Source organism: Homo sapiens, chromosome 1, assembly GCF_000001405.40.
Source record: "Homo sapiens chromosome 1, GRCh38.p14 Primary Assembly".
NCBI lineage: Eukaryota > Metazoa > Chordata > Mammalia > Primates > Hominidae > Homo > Homo sapiens.
Genome location: NC_000001.11, coordinates 184,875,410 through 184,890,394, shown reverse-complemented (window position 1 = coordinate 184,890,394; position 14,985 = coordinate 184,875,410). Strand labels below are relative to the sequence as shown.

Sequence of the window (14,985 nt, the reverse complement as noted above, 5' to 3'; positions counted from 1 at the left end):
CATTAGCAGGTATTCAAAACATATTTTTTGAGTAAATGACTATAACTCAATAACATAGTATGGGGATTGCTATCTCTGAATGTCTGAATCTGTCTATTTGTTATATCCCTGATATTTTCCAAAAATCAAATGGGGAAAAAGATATCATTCCTGTGTGCCTTTCCCTCCCCAGGCCTATCAGAGAGGAGCTGCTCCTAAATGTCGAATTCTTCCAGCCGGTGGCAAGGTGTTAACCTCAGAAGATGAATATAATCTGTTGTCTGACAGGCATTTCCCAGACCCTCTTGGTGAGTTGCTGATCATTCTTTTCCAAGGCAAAATGACTAAGCTTCTTTGTTTAGCTGGAGCAGTGTTTCTCTGTGAAGGAGAGGGATTTCCCTCCAGGGACATTTGGCAGCATCTGGAGACATTTTTGTTTGTCACAATTGGAATCGGGGTGCTATGGCATTTAGTGAATAGAGGCCAGGGATGCTACAAAACATCCTACCATGCACAGGACAGACCCTAACAAGGAAGAGTTATCTGGTACAAAGTATCAGTAGTGCCAAGGTTGAGAAACCCTGGGCTAGTCACTCATGTCCCATAGACAAGTGGAAGATGTGATTTCTCTAGTTGAGGAAAACATTTTACCACTTCCATTATTTCTAATCCCATTCAATAATACACAGTCAGTCTCTGTGTTTCTAGCACATGGAAAATGTGCTGTCAGCCAGGTATCTTGAAGCTTTTGGAATATATTGCAGGCTTTGATAGCACTCCACAAGGCAGCAGAAATAAACAGGTAGGGCCCAGTCCATGAAATATACAATCCCATCTTCTAGTAAGCAAGCCTGGACCTGTCAGGGAATACTATTTTTCTAATTTTAGGATGATATGCAACTAAATACCCTAAATAGACAAAAAACCTTTTAATAAGTGTTACAGTAACTCATAGCTACTGTGAAAAAAAAAAGCATTGCATTAATTTGCATATCTATAAATAAAGCTGGGATGCTGCCATGGAAAGATAATTGGGAGATTGGATTTTTATCTAGTTCTGGCTGTGCCACTTACCAAATGCTTTAGCTTAGCCGGCTGCTGAACAGCTCTGGTTTCTGTTTCTCCAACTCAAAAACAGGGCTTTGAACTTAAAAACCTAGAAGGGTCTTTCTAGGTCTAACCTTCTTTGATTCTCATTCATTCCACTTTTTACATGTGGAGAAATGATGGATAATATATAGACTAAATAAGGCAATTCATAGAGATTCATGAAGTGTGGATAATGTAATAACTCCATTTGGCTTTGCATAAATCATACTACATAGTAATTACTTGGTTCTTGAAGAGAGCCCTGGTTCTTATTAACGGACATAATAATTTCATTAGAATTTATGGAGAAAAACATAATCATTTTATCAATTGTTATTTCGGTGCTGAGTGCTTAACATAGTGTTTTTAATAACACAATTACAGGATTGGTACATGGACCATAAACTAAGATTAACAAATTATTACTAAGTAATTCATGCTAAAACAACACTTTATGTGCACTATGCATATTATTATATTTTCTTTTACATCTACTTATATGCCCTTGGCAGTGGAGCTGCAGCTAGAAATGGGAATACCAACATGTTGACTCATCCAAATCTCTCTAAAACTTTCCAATGAAATCAGCCAGAAGAGACAATATGTTTATTGATTTATTGCTGTAATCATATTGGAGGGAATGAAAAGGACTAAAAAACACAAGTCCTGTGTGATTAATCCCAGTTGGCCCAAGGCTTCAGATTGGGGCATTTTAATGACTTTTTAAAATTGTGTGTTGTGACCTTCTGACTTTTAAAATAGAATATTCTACAGTAGATCAGTTGTGATATTCTTGTAACTCAGAAAAAATTCACTGATGGCATCTGGAAAATTGTTGTAAAAGGTTGAGAGATAACTAGAGGCTAAAAGGAATGAATTTTATGGGTTTGTTGAGGCTTTTTAAATGCAAAGGATCAATGTTGCTTTTGGTTGCTTGTACAAAATTATGACATTCTTGGAGAGGGCAAGGAGGATTGTTTGATAGAACCATGTCAGTCAAGAAGACTGACTCTGTGATATTATTTCTACCAGAAAGAATAAAGGCATAATAAAGATGGGATGCTTATGAATAAGTGCATTTCTTGGAAAAAGCACTAGAGGCTTATGAATAAGTGCATTTCTTTTTCTTTTTTCTTTTGAGACAGAGTCTCACTCTGTTGCCCAGGCTGGAATGCAGTGATGTGATCATGGCTCACTGTAGCCTCGACCTCCTGGGCTCAAGTAATCCTCCCACCTCAGACTCTCGAGTTGCTGGGACCACAGCTACATGCCACTATGCCCAGAAAAACAAAACAAGCAAAAAAACAAACAAAGAACTGCAGAGACAATGGTCTCACTCTGTTACCCAAGTTGGTCTTCAACTCCTGAGCTCAAGTGACCCTCCTGCCTTGGCCTCCCAAAGTGCTGGGATTATAGGCATAAGCCACCATGCCTGGCCAATAAGTGTATTCTTTACAGAGTGTTCAGCTAAGTTGATACAGAAAAAAATGCCCCCGTGTTTTGTTAAAGTAATTCACTTGTTTGGCATTTTACTGGTTAGAATCTCATTTACTGCATACAATAAAAAACTCAAAGTTTTATTATCTCACTAAAGATATTTCGATATTAGTTCAGGGCTGGTGTGGACTAAATTTGTCTGAAGCTCAGGCTCTTTCTTGCTTTCTCCCCCTTTATTTCTAGGTTGTGGCCCCTTTTGGCAGGGTCCAGGGTGGCTGCTGAGCTCCTACCATAGCATTCTCATTCCAGATAATAGGGAGGAGAAAAGGAAAGGAGGAGGGTACATTCACTTTCTTTAGAGATACCTCCAGGAAGTTTCATATGCCACTTCAGCTTATATCTTACTGGACAGATCTTAGTAGCTGTGGGCTCACCAAGCTGCAAAGGAGGCTGGAAATGTAGTCTTATTTTATGTAGTCACTTGCCCAACTAAAAATCAGGGGCCTTATTCTCCCCAGAAAGGGAAATAGATACTGTGTTACAACTACAGGTGTCTCTATAGCATTCAATCATTCATTCATTTGCTCGTTTTCATGTTGATTCATTCCCAGCATTGTGCTAGGTCCTGGTGGGCCATGGCTTGTGCTGGTGGTGCATTCTCCTCTGTTACCTTCAGATTCCAGGACACTGGAACAGGGCTCCCATATATCCCCAGAAATTTATTCTTTATTTAAACCAATACGGATTGATTGATTGACTGATTGATTTTGAGATGGAGTTTCGCTCTGTCACCCAGGCTGGAGTGCAGTGGCATGATCTCGGCTCACTGCAACCTCTGCCTCCCGGGTTCAAGTGATTCTCCTGCCTCAGCCTCCTGAATAGCTGGGATTACAGGTGCATGCCACCACTCCCGGCTAATTTTTGTATTTTTAGTAGAGATGGGTTTTCACTATGTTGGTCAGGCTGGTCTTGAACTCCTGACCTCATGATCTACCCTCCTTGGCCTCCCAAAGTGCTGGGATTACAGGCATGAGCAATCCTGATTTATTAATTTGCCAGAACTGATGCGGTTCTGTAGACTCCCATGTGGTCATGATTCATTTCCTTGTATTCCCAGTGCTTTCAATGGCCTCTTAGAGAGACCTTCTTCCTTACCTTTCCCTGAGATTGGTGCTTAATACATATGCAGGAAGCACAGAACTAACATTTTCTTCTGCTTATTTTCTGTGACTCTGGAAAAAGTTGGAACTCATTTAACCAAGTGCAATATCATGTAATAGGAATGCATGGAAAGGAGTAAAGTTTAGGTAGGGGTTCTGAATAGTAGTCGGTTTAAAATGAGTTGCTTGGAATTGATTTTGAGGGAAGAGGTAAAAGTCCCATTGTCTAGGGCTTTAAAAAAATATCCTAGGCCAACAAAGCACATTTTTCACTCAACAAACTGAAGTTGAACATCTGCTATGTTCCATGACTGTGCTGTGGGCTAAGGATACAAAGCTATGGAAGATGCAGTCTGCATCTCTAGACGTTCACAGTGGGTAGCAGTGGTTCTGCTCCTTGCGGAGGGGAACAGCACGGGAATCCATCTCATTCCCCTCCCCCGCCTCCCTACCCTGAGTGTGGGCGCTGGGCATGAAAACAGGTCATTGCAGTATTTGGGGAGAACAGGGTAGGAAGCACCTAACTCTGTCTCTGGTGGCAGTGGGATGTGCCAGCAAAGGCATCCCAGAGGAGTGGCTTTTGAACTGACTTTTGAAGGATGAATGAGAATTTTTTTATGGGAAAGCATGATGGAAAGGAGGGAAGAGAGGGTTCTATGGACTGTAGGAACAATATAAAAAGTCACGGAATGGGTGAACACACCCTGGGAGGGTACAGACTGAGAGTGGAGGGGAAGCCAGCACAGAACAGGGCAGGCACCGATGCTTAGCGAGGAGATGGAGAGAGTCAGCAGAGGAACCAATAAAGGTGATAAAGAAGAAACAAAATTCTACAAAGCATGAAGGAAACCAGGAGAGAGGCACTCCTGGAAGTCATGGGGAGATAATGTTTTCAAAAGAAGGGGTTGTTAGCAGCAGCAAATATTCCAGGTCAGATGAAAAGAAGCAGCCATAGGCTGGCAGTCAGGATGACATAAATGGCTTCAGCAGTTGGGTTTCAGGAGCTGGTGGGGACAGGAATCAGACTGAGGTGAGAATAAGGTTGATGGCATAAAAACAGCAAGTGGTGTTTGGCAGTGACAGGGAGGAGGGAGAGAGTGCAGGGCAGAGAGCTGCCCTGTTGGAGCTGGAGCCTGCAGGGCCAGTAGAGTGAGGGGGTGCACAGGTTGTCAGTGGCCTGCAGAGGGGCAGGAGGGCAGAGGAAGCTCCGTTTGTGGGTCTTTAGACATAAGGAAGTTGAGAAAGATTGTGCCCAGGCTGGGCGCGGTGGCTCATGCCTGTAATCCCAGCACTTTGGGAGGCAAAGTCAGGTGGCTCGCTTGAGCTCAGGAGTTTGAGATCAGCCTGGGCAACATGGCAAAACCCTGTCTCTACAAATAATACAAAAAAACTAGCCGGGTGCGGTGGCTTATGCCTGTAATCCCAGCTACTCGAGAGGCTGAGGCGGGCAGATCACTTGAGGTCAGGAGCCTGGCCAACAAGGTGAAACCCTGTCTCTACTAAAAAGACAAAAATTAGCTGGAGGTGGTGGTATGCGCCTATAATCCCAGCTACTCAGGAGGCTGAGGCAGGAGAATCATTTGAATCTGGGAGGTGGAGGTTGCAGTGAGCAAAGATTGTGCCACTGTACTCCAGCCTGGGTGACAGAGCGAGACTCTGTCTCAAAAAAGAGAAAAAATTGTGTTCCTGGTATCCTCACTGTCCCTGTGATGTTGGGTAGGAGGCCAGGCAGACCGCAGTGGGACAGGGGAAGCTGGTGGAGGGATGCCAGAGGAGCCAGTGCTCCCAGTTTCCCTATCCTGTGAAAATATCTCACCAACTTTCCATCCCATGGCCTGCCCCAGATAGTCACCCTCACGACCTGAAACACACATTTGAAATAAAAGATACATGTTTTAAAAGGTATTTGTGTTTTCAATATTTCTTTAGCCTCCAGTGAGAAGGAGAACACTCAGCCCTTTGTGGTCCTGCCCAAGGAATTCCCAGTGTACCTGTGGCAGCCCTTCTTCAGACACGGCTACTTCTGCTTCCACGAGGCTGCTGACCAGAAGAGGTTTAGTGCCCTCCTGAGTGACTGCGTCAGGCATCTCAATCATGGTATGGCGCGGCTCCCCTCTCATCCCCGGGGCGGGAAGTGGGGCAGCCCTCGCTGAGTTGTTCTGGTCCATCATCTATTGCAGTGATTCTTAGAAAGAGCCACAGATGAGCCAAGTGCGGTGGCTCATGCCTGTAATCCCAGCACTTTGGGAAGCTGAGGCCAGCAAATCACAAGGTCAGGAGTTCGAGACCAGCCTGACCAATATGGTGAAATCCCATCTCTACTAAAAATACAAAAAAATATAGCTGGACGTGGTGGTGGGCACCTGTAATCCCAGCTACTTGGGAGGCTGAGGCAGGAGAATTACTTGAACCCGGGAGGCAGAGGCTGTGGTGAGCCGAGATCGCGCCACTGCACTCCAGCCCAGATGACAGTGCAAGACTCCATCTCAAAAAAAAAAAAAAAAAAAAAAAAAAGAGCCACAGATGGTGCTGCCCAGGGAAGAAGAGGGAAACAGGTAAAGGGAGAGTTCTGTGCACAAGGAGCCTCACCTGCTTGCTGGTTTTCAGGCAGGCCTGGGAGGCCCCGGTGAAGCAGAACATGGGGCAGTTATCTGGCTGCAAGTTGGGGGGTGTCACATTCTGACTGTCCTGAGTTTATTCATGTAGACCATTTTGCATATACTTCACTCTCCTTCTTCCTGATTTAAAAAAATCTAAATGCCAGCAAGAACATGCCAGTTTTCCCTGGCAAATGCTAGTCTTTTTGACATTTCCTTTTTATTTTCACCTTTATTTCTGAATAACAGTTACTCAGTTAAGATGAGTGGCACGGTCCGTGGTAATCTAGTATTTGTTTCTGGATCAGTGTTTCTTAAAACTTTAGGGCTCATAAGAATCACCAGGAGAACTTAATTAAAACACACATTCTTAGGCTTCACCCCCAGATATTCTGACTCACTGGGTACACCGTGGGGCCTGGACTTGGCTTTTCTAGCACACGGCCGAGTGGCACTGATGCTGCTGGTTCGCGAACCACCCTTGGGGTGGTGTTGCTTCAGGCCACTTTGCCTCCAGGCATGGACTTAAGCAATGTGACATCAATAGTAAAAGAGACTTCTCATTCCAATATGTGATGTTTTTGATATACTGAGGTGAATGCTGGTTTTTCTGGACTCCACAAAGTCTTCAGTTACAGATAACTGCGCTCTTTGTTCTTGGCACTTGGAAAGGCAGCCAGTCTAAGAGTACTGAGGGCTTACTCTGTGCCAGCCTCTACGTAGGTGTTAGGAAGAGAGTAATGAAGCATACAGAGTTCCTGTCTCTGGGAGTTGAAATTCAAACAGGGAGGATGGATAAACACCCACCAATTATCATTTGAAAGTTATCACAGTTAATGGGTTAAAGAGCAACGAGAGGTTACTAACTAGTGAAGAAAGGAGTGCCGAACTTTCAGCTCTCCAGGGGAGTCCTGTATGAGCAGGTGACATTTGAGCTGAGTCACCTCACCCATTGTGCCTTTATTTCCTAATATGGTTAATTTCACTGTATACTTATTTTAAAATTCAGAGGTTTCCCTGAGAGTGTCAGTCCCACAGAGTGAGAGTCACTAGTGATGCATCTCAACTAACTCTTGGTTTTAGCTGTGTATTGATGGGGACTCACGGAAAAAGATAAGGTCAGTCTGTTTTGCCACAGCAACCCTGAGTAACATTCATCATCATACTGGATCATAACTAGTTAGGAACTTTTTTAAAAAAATGATACCCTTATTAAAATCTTGCCTTGTGTTTTTGATGTTCTAGAGACAAAAAATTGCCCAGCACTGACTGCACCCTTTAGCTCATTTTCCACTACACTTGCCCGTCTGTGTTTAGGGCCTCGGTCTAGTAGGAACATGCAGTTGGCACTCAGCACAGGAACTGCGAAGTTTCACTGAGTGCAGAATGCTCCCTGCCCAGCCAAATGGGACTTACTGCATTCCCCCTTTCATGTACATAATAGGACTTTCTCTGAGGAGTTTTTGGATGTTATGTAGCCTGCATTTAGACTCCATTTATGGAAGATTTCAGCCCATTCAAAACCCCACTCTGCTCTCCAGTATGTTATCAAAGGCACCAAGATAATGAGGTCTAGTCATATTTCCTTGGTTCTGTGTCACATTCCTCTGCCCAGAAACTGTTTTATCCTCGCTGAGGCTTTATGTGGACTTAATTTGGCATAACTTCCAGTAGCTCCAGTCAGAACCAGAAGCTGTGATAACATTGTAGGGAACAGTCCTTGACTATCATGGGCCAAGGAGCAGACCTTTCTTTTCTCGCCTCTTTTTCTGTTTTTGACAGCATGATGTACCACTCATCTTTATTGTGTCACATTTTCTGTTCTAGTCTCTGCCTGTTACTCATTGTATTATTTTGAGTAAACCAGAAACAGGCTTTCACAAGCTGCCACTTAACCACTTTTTCCCATAATTACCCAAAAAGTTAAGAAATATAGTTAAAATTAGGGCTGGGATAAGGGCCAGAAACCCTGAGGTGGCTGCTGGGAGCCTGCTATCCTCTACCCGCATGCAGATGAGGAAGGGCTGTCAGCCTGCTGTGGCCATTGTTTCATTGACTCTCAGGCCACCGTGCTTCTCTGTTGAGAACCGGGTCCTAGGCATTCTAGTATCAGAGGCGTGTGAACCAGAGCAACTCCATCTTAAACAGGAGCTGGAAATGAGGCTGAAACTTACTGGGCTGCATTCCCAGATGGTTAAGGCATTCTAAGTCACAGGATGAGATAGGTCAGCACAAAATGCAGGTCATAAACACCTTGTTAATAAAACAGGTTGCAGTAAAGGAGCCAGCCCAAACCCACCAAAACTAAAATTGCAATGAGAGTGACCTCTGGTCATCCTCACTGCTACACTCCCACCAGTGCCATGACAGTTTACAAATACCATGGCAACGTCAGGAAGTTACCCTACATGGTCTAAAAAGGGGAGGCGTAAATAATCCACCCCTTGTTTAGCATATCATCAAGAAATAACCATAAAAATGGGCAACCAGCAGCCCTCTGGGCTGCTCTGTCTATGGAGCAGCCATTCTTTTATTCCTTAATAAACTTGCTTTCCCTTTGCACTGTGCACTCGCCCTGAATTCTTTCTTGCGCGAGATCCAAGAACCCTCTCTTGGGATCTGGATCGGGACCCCTTTCCTGTAACGCTAGCAGCTGATGCTAGGCATGTTGATCTCGCTTGGGGTTCCAGGACATGTCTCCTAGCACTCAAATTCCACCACAACCTAGCCCACTTGCGCCAGAAGTGTTGGGTCTGAATTTGGCTACATTTTCATGTTCATTCATTCTGAATCTAGAACCCCCTTGTCCTGCTTTTCCTTATAGGGTGGGCGTTTCCTATTTAACCCTGATGAAGGGCCTGATTATGCCCTGTTCTCCAACAGTAAGGCTAGCTCCTAAGGTAGGTAAGGGCCAGTAGAGAGCTCTATGTTTCTCCCTCCTTCAAAAGAGAGAGCAGCCTTTAGGAGCCTCAAAGATTATTTTGTATCCTAAGGAGAATAAAGGTTGTGTGTGTGTGTGTGTGTGTGTGTGCATGCTCACATGTGCACTTTCATGGGTGTTTTGCTTTTATTTAGTTTTGGCACCTCTTCATTGGGCAGGCATAAGAAAATCCCACAAGATTAATCCTTAGTAAAACATCCCACTCCACCTCACTGGACTAAATGTCAAGCCAACTGTATAGTATGATCCTAGAATAGTAGCTGCTGTCCTCTGTCCCTTTTGGAGTCACACTGTAATCCCTTGTCTCTGATCAGGGAAGGCTGTGGTTCTGAATGTCTGCTGCCACAAACTGAGACTTATATAAAGCCAAGATGTTCTGAGACAGTCCTGTTGTCCAAAATGCAATCCTATTCTTCAGAACTTTAGTTTGCAAAATACGATTGTAGTTATGGGTTATAGTTAAAGCTCCTGACAATACAGAGGGCTGAACACATGCGATATGGAATAATGATCATTATCGATGCAAGTCTGTTCTTCCAGCTCAGGATAATCATTTCTTGGCATGTAAATGTGCAGGAAGAAGAAAAAGTGTTCCTGGAGGAGGAATAGGATATGGGAGGGCCAGGAAGTAAGATAGAGTATGGACCATTAAAGGAACAGGAAGAATTTTGTGTGACTGGTGCTTAGAGAGGAGAGAGGAAGATGGGCAGGATCCATGCTATAAGGGGCTTTGTGATGCATATTAGGAACTTGGACTCTATTATAACAGCAATAGGAAGCCATTAGGATTTTAAGTAAATGAGCAACTTCATCAGATATTCACTTCAGAAAGGTCACAATGGCTGCAGTGTAGGCAGTGGATGAGAGGGTAGCATGGTGGGTGGCCAGGAGGCCACTTAAAAAGCTTTGGCTGGCAACAGATGGCAGTAGCTTGCACCAGAGTGAGGGAAGGCATTTGTCAATATCAACCCATGGTACTCAGACTAAAGGATTTGGGGGAACAGAGGAACTGGATGTTAGAAGGCAGCCATCACTGGATGAATGGTGATTCTGGAAAGGAGGTGTAATGCTGGCAAAGTTTTGTTCAACAGTGCTGTGCTAGCTTGAAGGACAGCCAGGACTGCCACTAAACAGATGCCAGTGTTCACATCGTCATGAACACAAAGAAAGAGAGGACAGTAGACTATCTGGGAAGCATGTGTGCACACGGGTTGAAAACGGTAGTATCAAAGAAAAGCCCATAGAATTTTGGTGAAAAGACCACAACAATATAAAGACACTCTGCAAATCAGTGCTTCAAGTTGGACTAGTTCAATCACTTATGACAATGGTAACATCCAACATTGCTTGTATGGAGTGAGTCAGGTGGAATGTGGAGCTATAACAGTGATTATGTGTTGGAATTGGTTACTCTGTCAGTATTACATGCCTTAAGCTCTTACCCCAGAAATCCCATGCCTTTATTAGATTTGATTTTGATACTTGCAAGTTTTAGGTGTTCAATAAATGTTGTGGAATTAAATTGAAATTTAGAACAACAAAGGACCTTACAATTCAAATCAGACAGAGCAAATCCTTTTTGGTGTGTTTATTTGAACATGATCTTCTTGCTGTGCAACACTCAGCAGCAAATCTCAGCTCTATTTTCCCCAGCTTATTGCTTCCTGGTCACCTACGAAGCAAGTTCATTACTTGAGAGACTATGCATCTAGTGTGGAGATCAATCAATTATAACTGAAAATATACAATGAATTTTAGTTTGTAATATGTGAAAACATACTTTTGAATTTTGTGGCACATGCTTATGTTTATGGACATGCACATATCTATGAGTTGGAAAATTCTAACTTTTACTTAGGCTCCTTTGGGCACTTTAGTACAAACTAATAATGTTTAGAGATAGATAAGGAAGAATACAATTGTCATGAACATATCTTTGAATGCTTTTACTTATAAAAATATTCTATAGTATACATGTGTTGAAATGCATACATAAAACCCTCTATGCACTGCAAGCAAAATGCTTGCTAGTTACTGTTAATAAATAAGTAGATATTAATTTCCTGTTTTCCTAGGAATATCCCAAGCAAAATTCTTTAAAAGTGTTCTCTCTGCTTGAGCTACATTCTCTTCTGGAGTTTAGCCTGTGCTCTTTGCCTCACATAGTTAGTACTCTACAATTAGAAATATTTCTCTCTGTCTCCTTGTGAGTATGTGGTTTTTACTTAGGAAGTAGTCATTCCCTTCCCTCCCCAACTTCCCCTCACCCCTGGTCCATGAAACTCTAAATTTGGGAGGGACTTTCATGGTCACCTATTCCAGTCCCTCAGGGTTTAATTATGATAAGGCTCAAATAGGTCACAGCTAGTTAGTGGCTGAGAACCAGTTGTCCCAATACCTGGCCTTTGACGTCTGTTTCAGTTGTAGATATCATGTTGTCTTCTCAGTGTTACTTTCTAAAAGACTCATCTCTTGGGCATTTTAAACATGCTGCTATTAAATCAATCTATTCTTTGCATGATATGTTTGCATGATCCAGAGTGAAGCAAATCCAGAGCTATTCACTTAAGATCACCTGAGACCTGGAGTATATCTGGCTTCTCGATAAATTGTATGATCTGTGTTTAACTTGGTATTTTGTCCACAGGCTAACCATGACTATATCTTTTAGTTTAGAAGTGCTCTGAAGATAAAATATTTGATAGCATAGCTTCTCTACTGGTTTAGTGTAGTTTAAAATGCAAACCATGTATGATTTCATGCAATTTAAGTAAAAACTCTAATTTGTAAAGGAAGATTGCACTGCTTGTGAGGGCATGGGTTGGAATACTTTAAAAATAGTACATCTAAAATATGCCTTTATATTATTTATACTTAACAGATTTACTTAAATTACTTGAAGCTCTCAAAGCAATTTAAGAGTTGGAACTAGAAGAACAGGTTTCCATCACAGACTAGAATAAACAGAACTGCTCTCTATTAGCCATTCAGTGTTTCTCCCCAGCAGTATATGGGTTATATAGTCCTGGGTTCACTGTTGTCTAAAGCAGTGTTGCCAAGAACTACATTTAAATACTTCTTTTGGCCCATCAAACATGGTGCTCTTTCAGTGCAATCACAGACTTCCACCCCATCTCCCTCAGTTCCAATGAACCAAATAGTTATTTGGTATGAAGGTCTAAAAATTGTATGGTTATGATAGTTCAGGATGACAAATTGGAACAATCATTAAAAAAATTACATAAGCAGAGTTAAAGTTCATTTAAGCAAAAAAAAAAAATTGTTTTGTTCGTGCTATTTAGATTGGGTAGATTCCAAAATCACTGGACAGTTTTTGATATTACTATAATCAACTGTGGCAAAGCCTGAATAGCTTTCAAGTTTTGGGTTTGTTTTTCTTCTTTTACTTATAGACAGGATATATTACAATTGAAACATACTTATTAGAATGACATAGTAAATGCAATGGCTGTTTTAATATGTGGTTAGATAATCAACATTATGAAAGGACTCTATTTGGCATGCATATAGCCCAGGATTTCTTTTAAATATAAATATCCTGGAGAATTTGGATAAAATTCTCATCTGTTGTTATTGAACAGTGAGCCACATTCATTCTTCCCATACCATGAACAAGCTTAGAGAACGTGATACGGGAGGGAATCATGCTTGGAGCTATTGTTTACTCTATTAGTTGTTTTGAGTTTTTAAAATTAAATATTGAGTAGATTTAGAAGAATGTTTGTAAAGTATGTATAGAGTATAAAGAACGTTATCGTTACCTCTGAAATTTCTTATGTGTCTTTCCCTGATCCTATAGCCTTCTTTTTCCTTTGAGAAAGCTCCATACTAGATTTTATGTTTGGCTTTTCTTTACAGCTTTATCACATATGCTTAATCATTTTGTGTGTTTTTAACTTTATCCATATGGAATTTTACTACACTTCCTCCCATGACTTCTTTTTGTTCAGTATTATATTCCAGTGCTTCATCCATGTTATTGCTTGTAGCTGCAATTTATTGACTTTCAAAGCTAAACATATTCTATTACATTAATATACCATAATTTCTAATATCTGTGTTACTCTAGATAGACATTTGGGTTGTTTCCACTATTTATTATTGACAGTGCTGCTGTGAACACTTACTGTTTGTTGCTGGTTTAAAGGTATTTAGTTTTGATTGGGTTTACTAATATCTAAAGGAATGTTCACATCTGTGTTAATGAGTGTATTTGCATGTAATTTTCCTATTTTTCAGTGCATTTTTGGATTTTTGCACCAAGGTTATTTTTGCTTCATAAAATGATGCATCTTTTCTTTTCCTTTGCTATAATCTGAAATAGTTTGTGTAAAACTGGAATTATTTGCATGTTTTAATATTTGGCAGAGCGTGCCTGTAAAATCATCTTAGGTGTTCTCTTTGTGAGAAGATCTTAAACTACTAAGTTAAATTTTAAAAATGTTACAGGATTATTCAGTTTTTCAATTTCTTTTTTTTTTTTGAGATGGAGTCTTGGCTGGAGTGCAGTGGTGCTATCTGGGCGCACTGCAACCTCTGCCTCCCTGGCTCAAGAGGTTCTCCTGCCTCAGCCTCTAGAGTAGCTGGGATTACAAGCGCACACTACCACACCTGGGTAATTTTTTTTGCATTTTTAGAAGAGACAGAGTTTCACCATGTTGGCTGGGCTGGTCTCGAACTCCTGACCTCAAGTGATCCTCCCACTTTGGCATCCCAAAGTGCTGGAATTACAGGCATTAGCCACCATGCCCGGCCCCAGTTTTTCCATTTCTTAACTCAGTTTTAGTAGGTTACACTTTTCTAGAAAGTTGTCCATTCTGTTTATGTTTGAAGTTTGGTGGCATAATATCCTCTCACTTTTTAAGGATATATTCATGATGCCCTCTTTATTCTCTGTAGTGCCTGTAGCTGTTTCCTCTTTCTTGTTTGCTTGTGCCTCCTCTCTTGTTTCCTTGATGAATTTTATCAACTTCCTCTTTTCTTTTTTTTTTTTTCTGGAGACGAAGTTTCACTCTTATTACCCAAGCTGGAATGCAATGGCGCGATCTTGGCTCACTGCAACTTCTGCCTCCCAGGTTCAAGCGATTCTCCTGCCTCAGCCTTCTGAGTAGCTGGGATTACAGGCATGCGCCACCATGCCCGGCTAATTTTGTATTTTTAGCAGAGACAACGTTTCTCCATGTTGGTCAGGCTGGTCTCAAACTCCTGACCTCAGGTGATCCACCCGCCTTGGCCTCCCAAAGTGCTGGGATTATAGGCATGAGCCATCGTGCCTGGCCTTATCAACTCCTTAAAAAAACACAGATTTGGACTGGGGAGATTATTGTATATTTGTTTTCTATTATGTTAATTTCTGATGTTTTAAAAATTGTCTTTCTTCTATTTTCTTGGGCTTTATTTCGCTGGCTTTGTTTTCTCATCTCTCCAGGTAGATGCTTAGCTCATTGTGATGATTTTAAAGCACTTGCAAATTCTTTAACATTCTTTCCTTCAAAAAATGGAGTCAAATTTTCCTCCACTTGAATGTTGGCCAGACATAGTGACTTCTTATGAACAGCCTGTGGCAGAAGTGATGGTATGTGACTTTCAAGAATAGGTCACCAAAAAGAATCATTTCTGCCTGACTTTCTCTTGGATCACTTATTTGGGAGAACCTAGTCGTCACGTGAGAATACATGAGCGTCCCTCTGGAGAGGCCCATGTAGAGAAGACAACCATGTGAGTAAACTTCCTGGGAAGTGGATGCTTCTATTCTGTCAAA

The 14,985-nt window shown here is 41.8% G+C and overlaps 1 protein-coding gene across 6 annotated transcripts in view; it reads left to right on the top strand.

Moving 5' to 3' along the window:
- The window catches only part of NIBAN1 (niban apoptosis regulator 1), a 183,477-nt gene that overhangs the window by 84,114 nt on the left and 84,378 nt on the right, over positions 1–14,985 (top strand). For all 6 annotated transcript variants that reach the window (XM_047444098.1, XM_047444102.1, NM_052966.4 and 3 more), the window contains exons 4-5: positions 173–287; positions 5,595–5,762. In XM_047444098.1, the coding sequence (XP_047300054.1) occupies positions 173–287; positions 5,595–5,762 (283 nt within the window). The remainder of the gene's footprint in view (positions 1–172; positions 288–5,594; positions 5,763–14,985) is intronic.